The 12,356-nt window shown below is 41.9% G+C and overlaps 1 long non-coding RNA gene across 1 annotated transcript in view; it reads right to left on the bottom strand.

The window, feature by feature from the left end:
* Positions 1-5,177: 5,177 nt before the first annotated feature.
* LINC02734 (long intergenic non-protein coding RNA 2734) overlaps positions 5,178-12,356 on the bottom strand; it is a 36,240-nt gene continuing 29,061 nt past the window's right edge. Inside the window, exon 3 of the long non-coding RNA NR_183631.1 lies at positions 5,178-6,155. This is a non-coding gene — a long non-coding RNA (long intergenic non-protein coding RNA 2734). The remainder of the gene's footprint in view (positions 6,156-12,356) is intronic.

The raw sequence follows: 12,356 nt of genomic DNA, 5'->3' as shown, positions 1-12,356 counted from the left end.
GCTTTCTATTTTTATTTTTTTCAGCTCCCAAGAGCTTAGAAAGAATTGGGTGCTTTTTATTTTCTGTTTTTGTTACTTTAACTGCCTGGAGTCAATGGGTAGAACTAAAGTAACTTAGGAGAACCTTCATAAGGAATCTGTAGCGCCAAGAGGTTATCCAGAGGAGCCAGTGTCTAAGCCAGCATAGTAGAGGGTGAAGGCCCCTGAGATATCCAGTTCAACTGCATCATTTTGTAAGGGATAGAATTGTAGCTTAGAGAGAAGGAACTTATCTACGGCCTCACAGCTCCTTTTTGGCAAAACTGGGGCAGAACTGGGGCTCCTTTTTGGCAAATTTTGTTTGCTTCATTTTACTGGTACAGTTTTATTTTTGTTTGGATTCAAGCAACAAAAGCCCACAAAACCAGCTTAAGGAAAAGAAATGTTTTGAAACTGCCAGATCAGCTCCAGGACTTGGGTTACCAGGAATCATGGGGAACTAGAACTAGGGTCTGGAAAGTCATTAAAAATCAGTACTGCTGTGTTCTGTTTCACTTTCAACAGAGGTGACCCATTGTCAGACTGTGGTTTGGATTTGTTCGTCAGATGTCTACAGTTCGATAGGCAGTCTAAAGCGTGCATCAGAATTACCCAAAAGGGCTTGTAAAAATGCTGATTGCTGAGCCCCATCCCAGAGTTTCTAACATGTCTTGGGGTGGATCTTGGGAAGGTGCATTTCTAACAAGTTCCCAGGTGATGCTGGAGCATCACACTTTTGAGAGCCCCTAGTTGAAAGAATCTGGAATTTGAATTTGAATTCAGTTATCTTACTTCTGTCATCCTGCCTGACTCATTTGAGTGTGGGAGCCCTGCCTAATGCTTCTCTTCCCATGACTGCTTTATTCTCCCTCTACAGACCAGCTTACTTTTCTCTACTCGCACAATGCCCATAATGACTTCTTAGAATGGTGTCCTCGACCCTCTGAGGGAGCAATACCTCACAAATGCACAACTCTCAGGTGGTTAGGAAAGAACAGGGCCATGAAAACATGGTTACAAAGGTGTACTTCTTAGGATTGGGGAAGCAGTTCAGGCAACTCAATCACACGACATCTATCACACAGTGTTTCTTGGAGCACAGGTATCCAACAAAATGCCAATAACTTGTGTAGTAGAAAGACTTATACCTATAGTTGAGCAAGTGTGGAAAATAATGGGACAAATGAAGTTAAATAGTTGCTTCGTTTATCTGTAAATAGTATGTGACTCTCCAAAATGGTGATTGAGAATACAACTTTTTTTTTGGAGACGGAGTCTCGCTCTGTTGCCCAGGCTGGAGTGCAGTGGCGCGATCTCGGCTCACTGCAAGCTCCGCCTCCCAGGTTCACGCCATTCTCCTGCCTCAGCCCCCGGAGTAGCTGGGACTACAGGTGCCCACCACCACACCCGGCTAATTTTTTTTTTTTTTTTTTTTTTTTTTTTTTTTTTAGTAGAGACGGGGTTTCACCGTGTTAGCAAGGATGATCTCGATTTCCTGACCTCGTGATCTGCCCGCCTCGGCCTCCCAAAGTGTTGGAATTACAGGCGTGAGCCACCGCGCCTGGCCAGCTTTTTCTATTCTTAACAGAGCATCTCCTAGGCATAAGGCATTGGTCTAAAACCTAAAAAATGCAATGGCGAAAAAGCAAACACAGCACCTAATTTAATAAGGTTTGTGTTCTGCTGGGAGAAAGACACGAAATGTCAAGTTATACAATGAATTGGTACAATTATAAATGTTACGAAGAGTTGAGCTTATTAGGACATTAATTGCAATCTAATAGGAAAATAGAGATTAATTGCTAAATGTTCTAATCTAATGGCCCCAACTCTTCATAACACTAAATGTTAAATGTTTAGCATTTAGACAATGTAAGGTAGTCTGGGGGAATAGCAGTGCCTTTTTGAGATGTTACATTTTAGCTGTGATCTAAACGATGAATGGGAACTATACTAGGAAGAGGAGTGGAGTAAATGACACATGCAAAAGCCCTGAGTGTAGCATATTCAAGGAACTGAAAGAAGGCCCCTGCAATGGGAAGGCAAACAACCACAGAGAATGTGACATAAGGTGAATATGGAGACATGGGCAGGGGGAATGCTCATTCAAGTAGAATTATGCGGATGAAAAACCTTTGATGGGCTTTAATCGGGGGAGTGACACGAACAGATTTTCATTTAAAAGGACTACTCTGGCTATAGAGTAGAGTAGGCATTGTAGGGGACAAGCAAGTAAGGTAGGAGACCCCAGTCACAGTTGTCAAGTTAAGAGAAGAAGGTAGGTTTGACTAGAGTGGTAGAGATGGAGATGAGGAGAAGTGGGAAAATTGGAGAAAGATTTAGTAAGGAAAGTCAATGGAATTTGACTCAGTGTGTGCTGGAGAGTCATGGTGAGTAGATGGCAATCAGAGCATGAGCTCAAGGAGCTAGTGTTTGAGAAACATACTTCAGGAGCTATAGTGTACTGTCTTTAACCTGATACTTTTTAAAGAAATACCCAAACATCCTAATTCCTCTGCATAGGACTCCACTGATCCAAGACACCACTTGAGCCCCACTACAGCCTTTCCTTAAATTACCTCTCTGGACTCATTTCCCATTTTTACTGCCACCCTTCACTTTCCTAATAACCCTGCACTTCAGGTATACCAAACTTCTCATAATTCTGAAATACTGCTCTTCTGTCTAAAATTCCTTTCTCAGCACCAACCTCCAATATTTTTTTTACTGGTAAACTGCTGTGCATCATTTAAAGCCTGGAACAATTTGACTACCTTCCCTCTGAAGTCTCTCCCAGCTTTCCTAAAGGAAGTAATTCCTTGTCTGTGCTCTCACAGAACCAGGCTTACACTTAGTGTGTCTGCTAGAATGTAAACTCCACCAAGGTGGGGATTGTCTGTCTTCTTTTCTAGCACTGTAAACAGTACCTGACCACCTCTAAGTTGGTATACATATCCTAAGTTATAATATTTTGCTTAGTGTTCTCATCCTGTTTTTAGGAAAACCAAGCTCTCTGAAGACAAGGACTATATCTTATTCCTTCTAATGATCAGCAATCTAGCACAGGTCCTGGCAGGCAGGACACAGTAGGCCCTCCATACATTTATATTTAATGAATACATTTTAGGGCAGAAAGATCAGGATTTCTATTGATCTCTTTCTATAGCCATGTACCTTTCGGAGCTCTGATGTGCCCATGTAACCTTGTGCCCTTGGCTTCCCTGGATTTTGGAAAGGGGATCTCCAGTACTCAGTACCTCTGAAACTTGGACTTTCTGATTTACCCTCACTTGAACTGCATGTGCCGGGCTCCCTCTTCCACTCTATCAGGCTGGAACTCTCTGTCAAGGTAGTTGAATGTAATTTTGCCTTGATGTTAGGTGGGAACAGAACATTGAACACAGCCATTCAAGGAGTCAAAGAATGGGTTGGGGCTGGGTGTGGTAGCGTACACCTATAACCCCAGCACTTTGGAAGGCCAAGGCAGGAGGATCACTTGAGCCCAGGAGTTCCAAACCAGCCTGGGCCATATCATGTATTGCCTTGCAAAAAATTTCTTTAAAAAAATTAGTTGAGCATGGTGGTGCATGCCTGTAGTCCCAGCTACCCAAGAGGCTGAAGTGGGAGGATCACTTGAACCTGGGAGGTCAAGGCTGCTGTGGCCCATGATCATGCCACTGCACTCCAGCCCGGGCAACAGAGAGAGACCCTGTCTTAAAAAAAAAAAAAAAAGAAAAAAAAAGGGATGTGGTGGGGTGTGGGGTTGGTGCCAATAAACTTTGCTATCTTTAGTAATGGGAATGGAAAGATAGAATCTTCCAACAGCAGACCTGGAAAGCAATCTTGGGATCATTTATCTCTTTGTGTTTGTTTAATGTGGCTAACATCTTTAACAAGAAACTCAAATGTGAAAGTTACTTGCCTAAGGTTGAGGTATTGCTTCTCACAAGAGGTCATTAGCTGTGGGGTTCTGCCTGCAGACCCTGGCCTAAAGGACAGATGAATAAAACGTACACTGACACACAGATATTCTGTTTTGCCAGTCCTGCTGAGTGCCCGACTGCCTGCACACCAAGAGAGGTTTGTTACTGTGGCCGGCCCTGAGCAGCTCGCACTTCAGGCATTTATTTAGTATACAATTAACAACAGAAGCTTTGAGTCCACACACTTGTGGATAATTAACGTGGTTAACAGAGTAGTTCCACGAATGATTAAAGCTCAGGTACTGCGGTTTAAAATAAATACCATTAGGGGGCAATATTCCTGGTAGACCTCCACACCGCCTTGGAGAGGGCCATCTGGTTCAAAGGTTAGTTAATGGAGGTAAGGTAAACAGACTTAAATGGGGAAGCCTCTATTGTCCCTACTATTTACCCTATGACCTAATGCTGTAAGGTAAGAACTGGCTGCCTTCAGCCTGTTCAACTATTAGAAGCTATGTAACCTTTCGGCCTTCCAAAAAGGTTCGTGACTATTCCCTATAACTTTCCCTAATATTTCCCTTTAATATTTCTGCCACCATCCTGAGTGAATCCCAACACAAAGTCATACAGCTCAACATGTTTATTAGTTATTCATGTATTTTTGTCACACTTTGTTCTGAAAGGATTTCAGATGATCTAAAGATACACACTGAGGCTGAGCGTGGTGGCTCATGCCTGTAATCCCAGCACTTTGGGAGGCTGAGGCTGGAGGATCACGAGGTCAGGAGATCGAGACCATTCTGGCTAACATGGTGAAGCCTCATCTCTACTAAAAATACAAAAAATTAACCAGGCATGGTGGCACGCGCCTGTAGTCCCAGCTACTCAGGAGGCTGAGGCAGGAGAATTGCTTGAACCTCGGAGGCAGAGGTTGCAGTGAGCCGAGATCACGCCACTGCACTCCAGCCTCGGTGACAGAGCAAGACTCCATCTCAAAACACACACACACACACACACACACACACACACACACACAAAACAGATATACACTGAACACAGCACAAGTGGGACATAAGAGATTTAAAAGGGTTAGAGATGTAAAATGGATCTAGGAATGGAAACCATAAGGCGGGATTTATCAACTGGATTCTGCAGAATGCTGTTAAGGCCAGATGTTAGCAGGTGTTACATAAAAAAGGGATACCATGAGCAAAAGTATTTGAACATGGGCAATGGTTGAAACAAGTTTAAACAGATTATCTTTATTACCAAATCTCTCAAACCTTTAATATGCTATAAACATTGTGAAACAATAAAAAAACTTTCCAAAACTAAGGTTTTTTTCCCCAAAACTTATTTGATCCAGAACCCTTTTTCATGTAACATTTCACTCATTGTGAATTAACAAGAATGTGACATTTCTCAAATTTATTTGATCTGAAACTCTTTAAATGCAACATTTGAGAAACTAGTGCTCTGCTGAGCACCTGTTGGGAAATACTGCCATAGAAGTCTACATATTTTCTGAAGATGAGGGCTAAGAAAATCTGGCTCTAAGCTTTCTAGCAGAAAACAAAAATAAAAGCAGTTAAACAGTTTACTCTGTGCAGCAGATAAAAACAGACCAATTAATCTGGAGAAGCCCACGCGGGAACTTACTGGAAGAACCTCAGAAATGGGAAAAGTATGAGTGGGAGCTCTAATCTCTCTTCACATATTTATAGATTTCATTGTATTCATACTTGTACATTCTTTCAGTATAAACGAAAGTCATAACACCAGAGTATAACAATGATTTTACAGTGAACAAAGGAACTATATTACAGGTGTACACATTTTTGCTAATCTGGTTTAATTTAGAAATAGATTATTCTATTTGGAGGAACACTCTCAGCCAAAATTTTGCTAGATAGATGTTTCTTGGCCAGTTTAAATGTCTTAGTAGATAGTTGAACAGGGGGAATGAATAATGTGTGGTAACACAAATGAAGTAGATTCAAAAATGAGCTCAGACACCAAATATACTCTCATCCTACTTGGCTTAGAGGTGAACTAGACTCCTCAGCGATGGGAGGCAGGGTCAAGACAAGCAACAAGGAGCTTCTTCCAATACAGAGAGGTTGACATCTTTACTAAATTTCCTCTATTCATTTGGTGGAGTGGTGTTAACTGTTTTTCTTTGTTTTGTAACTCCTAAAATGTAGGGATGCACAGCTAAAGAAAGAAAGTTAAAAAAAAAACTGTCAATCAATAACTCCAAGATACTAAACTCTAAATGAAGCTGTGTGCTAAGGAGATATAGAAAGTGCCATGACACGCACATGTATACATATGTAACAAACCTGCATGTTGTGCACATGTACCCTAGAACTTAAAGTATAATAAAAAATAAAAAATAGGAAGTGCCATGACACTGATAATGTACAGTAAGTGTCCTTGAATAAATTTACAGAAGTGGAAGAAGCCAGATGATTTGATAAATGGCCTCTCATCATCAAAGAACTATCAGATTATTCCTATTTCAGAAGTCTCTTTTATGGTTAACAGAAGACATTTCATATGTTACCATATGATGTCAGTTCATTTGGTCAATCTACCTCCCTTCAAAGGTAAAATATAAATCAGTAAAACACCCATCTGCTTTATCTTCAACGAGCTTACATTCAGATCTACCATCTCTTCCGTCTCCTTTTCTGATGCCACAGAACCCTCACCTGAGTTTGTTCTTTAGATCTAAAACAGTGGTTCTCAATTTGTAGCAATTTTGCCTCCTAGAGGACAGCTGGCAATGCTGGAGATGGTTTTAGTTGTCACAGCTGGGGTGGGGGCGTGCCAGCGACATCCCTGATACAGACCAAGGATGATGCTAAACATCTTACAATGCACAGGACAGCTCCCCCGTAACAAAGAATTAACTGGCCCCAAGTGGCAATAGTGTCGATGTTAACTAGGTCGAATCTAAATTTTTCCCATCATAATTTAAGACCCTTTCCTCAAGTTTTACCCTGCATACGAAATGAAAAACTGATTGTTAACTCAATAGCCTTACACTTTATCCTCTACACAGCGCAATAGCACAACGTCTAGTATAGACATTAATCTGCAAATTTAATAAACTTAATTTTGGGGACTGATTCTTGAGATACTTCCTCTTTTCTAGGCCAAATAACCCCAATTCTTTGGATTGTTTGTTTACTTATCATTCATTCACTCAAACATTTATTCAACGGCAACTTTGTGAAGGTATAGTGTTAAGGAGTTTAACTGTTTAAAGGTAAAGCTCAGTGTTCTCAAGGAGCTCAAGGCTCATGGGGAAAGACAGTCACAATGTCAGATGATTACACACATTGGGCTAAGAATCTGTGTTGCATTCAGGATGCTGTGGGAGTGTGAATGCAGATGTGATGAACTCCTCCTAAAGTTCTGAGGAAGGCTTTAAAGGAGAAGCAACATTCAAACTGCGATTTGAGGGATGAGAGTTTGCAGTATGGTTGGGGACTTGAGGGAAAGACAGTAAAAGCACTATTCATTGAGAAAAAGTTGCTAAGCACTCATTATATGCCAGTAGTTAGGCACCACACATTACTGTGAAAAATCAAAGCAAAACAAACCCCAAAACACGTAGCTTCTATCATGAGGCCTATTTAAAAAAGAAACAAATAAAATCTCCCCTTTAATGCTTGAATCATACTTTATAGACCTCAGAACTCTTCTGCTTACCTTTTCTCATTTTAGTCCCACAAACACCCTGAGTGAGAGGAGAAATACGTATTGTCTCAATTTTATAAATGAGGACCGTGAGGCAAGATAAATGAAGTGACTCCCTTCTCTCCCCAACCATGACCACAGATCTAGTAAGTGGTAGTTGCCTGATTCCAAGTCCTGTGCTTTTCTACTCTTTTTCAGTTCCAAATGCAATTTCCTGTGGCAGAGAGGCAAGCACGCTCCTTTCTACCCCCTCCTTGCCCTTGCTGTCTTCATCTCATTCTAAACTGTTTTCTGCCAGCCTCAATGCTGAAGTTGTTTTCCAGTCTTCCCAGTTCTGATTGCAGAGGGACTATCCAGGGAAGGAAGGAGTGAGGGTTGCTCTGCAGCCACTGACCATTTGGCAAAATCATTTCTACCTTAATTTCCCAAATTTTTTGAGGAAAAAGGAAAACTGAGATGTGGGACAGAAAATCCCTTTTGTTTGTCTTGGTGTTTGATAATGTATGCAACCTCTCTGGGTGGTTTAAGCGGTTTAGGTACTTTCTATAAAAGGGATCTTTTAATGACAAAACTAATGTGATTATCTGAGTGAGTGTGAGAGGCGTATTCAAGGCTTAAAGAAAATCTGTTAGAATAGCTGAATGTATCTGCTTAATCCTTTCTCTAATGTGGCTGAACAATGCTCTGGGAAGCCATTGGTCCGTTCTTTCTCCTAGTAAATGCCTGCCTCCAGAGGTAGGGACTGTTTGCAGCTTTTGATACCCGTATGCTTCACCTTCTCAGCTGCACAAAAGCACAGGAAAAGCTGAAGGAGTCTGAAGCACTGACAGAAAGCAATGTCCCCTCTGAATGCTGAGGGCTAAATGTACAGCACATGGCATGCTATCTCCAGGGCATCCTGAGAAGCGAGGACTGTGGTCACCATTGGGCATGGCATCTCAGAGAAGGGTCCCCCTTCCCGGCACCTGCTTTCATTAGGTGCTGGGTGTCAGATCACTTATCGATGTTTAAAATCTTACACCTGAGATTTAAGAGTGACCAGCCTGATCAACATGGTGAAACCCTGTCTCTACTAAAAAATACAAAATTATCTGGGCATGGTGGTGCATGCCTATAATCCCAGCTACTTGGGAGGCTGAGGCAGGAGAATTGCTTGAACCTGGGAGGTGGAGGTTGCAGTGAGCCGAGATCGTGCCATTGCACTCCAGCCTGGGCAACAAGAGCGAAAGTCCATCTCAAAAAAAAAAAAAAAAAAAAAAAAAAAGAGTGGTTTAGCTATTCCTCTTTGGGGGCAAGAGAAACATAAGAGGGGATAAAAGTGATACAGGTTTGAGTTCTGCAACCTCCTCTGTAACTCTGGCCCAAAACCAAATTCTTCTGGTCCTCTGCTCTCTCATTTGTGAACTAGAGATAATAATACTTGACATATTAATTCATGTGAGAATCAAAATAAAAATGGGAACATGAATACAAAAGTGCCCCAGCCAATCTGGAATATTATCACATAACAAGTTGCACACTTTTTATTTTTATTTTAAAGTTCTAAATCTTGTTCTTTGAAGAATACTCTTCTAGATGTATAATTGACTACTTACATGCTGGGCGTTATGCACAGTTCTGGAGATACAGATAGGAGTAAGTCAGTCTCTGACTTCTAAGAAGGTCACAAGTTATAGGGAGGCAGAAATGTAAGGTGCAGCTAAAAATGTGTATTAGAAATGATTAATTCTAACTTGGGAAAATTAATAATAATAGCTAAGACTCATATTGTGCATATTATTTGCTTGGAGGTGAGCCAAATGCTTTGCTTGAGTTACCTCATTCAATCCCAACAGCCCCAGGAGGTAGGAACTGCTATCATCCCATTCACAGATGAGGAGGCTGAGGCTCAGTCAGATCAAGTAAGTCACGTTCCCATAGTATCACAGCTGGCACTTGGTGGGCCAAATTAGAGTCCTGGGTCTGCTTGACTTCCCAGTCCAAACTCTTCCCCATTGCTTGGTGCTCTATCCCAAGTTAAAAGAGACATCCTAAAAGATGTGGCCACAGGTGGGTTTCAACGCAGAATTGGAAGTTTGCTAGGTACACAGAGGAGAAAGGGCATTCTGAGCAGAGGGAATGGCACAGGTAAAAGCATTTTGGCCAGGAAAGCATTTGTGCAGAGAGGAACTGGAAGCAGTTTGTAGTTAGCAGTGGAGTGGGGACAGGTTAGAGGAATAAGCAGGGGCCCAACTATGATCTCCTTTATGGCCCCTTTGTGAAAAAAAAAAGTATTTCTATTTTAATTAATTATTTTGTTTATATATCCCGTTTGTCAAAAAGATTTTGCAGCAAAGTGGGAACTGTTGTAATGGTACAGGGTTACAAAATATACTTCAAATTTTAGAATCAGAAAACTTTAAGGATGGAAGGCACTTAAAAGATCAAATTCATTCTACGCAAGAGGAAATCAAAACTGAATGCACGTAAATGTCTCAATCAAGGTTACAAAGGAGTTTAACCAGCCAAACCAGAATATTTGCGTTTTTTAGATGAATTATGGAGTTAAAGTAAACATTAAATGAGAATTACAGAATTATCTTCAGATGCATTTATAGAAATTGGTGAGTTGAAAAGAGGGAGAGATGCAGTTGGTAATTCCATGAAATGAGAAGGAAGTTCTGCTGAAGCTGTAGGTTTCCCATTGAGAATGCTTGTGACAACTCTGTGGAGAACGCTGCTGGGTGTCTAAGTGGGTGCCTTGGCTGGGTTAAAGCTGGGAATCAGGTCTGCCTGGAAAGTAGAATTTATTGATATCTTTCTATGTCAGTTTATTAATTTTCATTGGCTACTTAAATGGGGGCCTGGTACAGATGTGGCCTGGTTCTTGTTCTCACCAAGCTCATGATCTGAAAGACGTAACAGACAAGAAAACAGGTAATTGCCACAAACTGGGATTAGTCATGTAATATGGAATAGGATGCTTTGGGAGCCCAGAGGAGTGAGCAACCAAATGGGTTAGGAAAAGCTTCCTGGGGAGAGTAATGTCTAAGAAAGACTTGAAAGGTGAGTGAAAGTGGGGTAAAAGGGAGAACAAATAGTGCTCTAGGCAAAGGAAACAGTTTGTGCAAATGCTCCAAGAAGACCACAGCATTTGGGAAAATTAACTTGAATGCACTTTCCCATTTGATAGTCTTGGCATGGAGTGTGTAAGTTGGGAGTGACGTGAGAGTTTTTTCTCTACCCTTTCCTTCTCCAATATGCAAATATATATATGCAGTTTATTAGAGAACGTCACAACTCTGATAAAAAAGATTGAAATGCATTTGGGAATGCCACAGAGAGCAGGTGCTGACATGCTGGGACTCACTAAATGATTGCACAAAACAAAAACTCCAATATTCCTCTTTCCCATGTCACTACAGCCATCCCACTGACCTGAGAACCAGTCTCCCCAAAGTGACTACTTCTCACCCTAAGATGGAAAACAAAAAGGCATGAAATCAATGCTCTGAATGTAAACTAGACAGAGTGCAGCAGGAGGGGAGAGCAATAAAGTGAGCAGGCCTGAGTGATGGTGGTAGCCAGCTGGATTCTCAGGTCACAGAGTAATTTACTCACTGGTCCTAGGCCACTGGCTAATTATCCAGACAGCCCTGATCCTGGTGCGAAGCCTCCTGCTGCTCATGTTATTAATACCAGCAGCAACCAGCGGGCGTTGGTGGGAGCAGAGGAGCAGACCGAGTTGTTAGACTGCTGAGCGAATGCAGAGGCATCTGCCTGGTCCCTCTGAGTTGGACCTCACCAGGAAAACTGACCCAGCGCCAGCATTCAGCTCTCGGCTCAGCCACTGCATGGGCCCCAGGGAGAGGCTCTCCAAGGATGGCCGAGAGCTTGGGCAGAGGAAGAAGTCACCCAAGTCATGGAGTTTGACCAGCTTGTGTCAAAGAACCTCTGCCTGTTTCCCCCTTGGAGCTGACTGGAAAGTGATTTTGAAGCCTACCCAGAATAACTTAATACCCATGGAGTAATGTCAAACACTCCTCTTTGACATGGCGTGGGAATTAGACTTCACTGCACTCAAATGGGGCCAGGGAAGGTTATGGTGTTTGTTTTAGGGTTTAATAATTTAGGAGATTGACCTTAGGTTACCCTGAAGGGATTTCAGGGGCCAGTGGGGATGGAGGTGGGGTTCTCTTGTCTCATACCCCACTTTAAAATACGAAAACATATGTAAAGTCCCCAGCTCATAGTAGACATTTTCAATCAATGTAAGTGCACTGCCCTCTTTCCCCTATAACATTTTCCAGTAAACGACCTCTATCTGACTGATCTTTCATCTTTTCCCTCTAGGGCAGTAGTTCTCAACCAGGAGCAATTTTGCTTCATAGGTGACATTGCAATGACTGGAGACTATTTTCATTGTCACAACTGGGGGCAGTGGGACGTTGCTGGCATTTGGTGGAAGAGGCCAGGGATGCTGCTAAAAATCCTGCAATGCACAGAACAACCCTCCACAACAAAGAATTATCAAGTCCAAATATCAATAGTGCTGAGGTTGAGAAATCCTACTCTAGAAGATTCTGTACATTGTAGCCTGAGTAATCCCTGTAAATACAAATCTTGTCATTTGCTTGCTTAAAAAAACCCCAGTGGTTTAGTTATCATAAATAATGCATTCCAAATTATTTACTCAATACAGAGCACCTGTTCTGTGGCAGGCACTGT

Source organism: Homo sapiens, chromosome 11 (assembly GCF_000001405.40).
Source record: "Homo sapiens chromosome 11, GRCh38.p14 Primary Assembly".
NCBI classification, from domain to species: Eukaryota; Metazoa; Chordata; class Mammalia; order Primates; family Hominidae; genus Homo; species Homo sapiens.
Note: the sequence above shows the minus strand (reverse complement) of the source record. Positions and strands in the feature narration are given on the sequence as shown.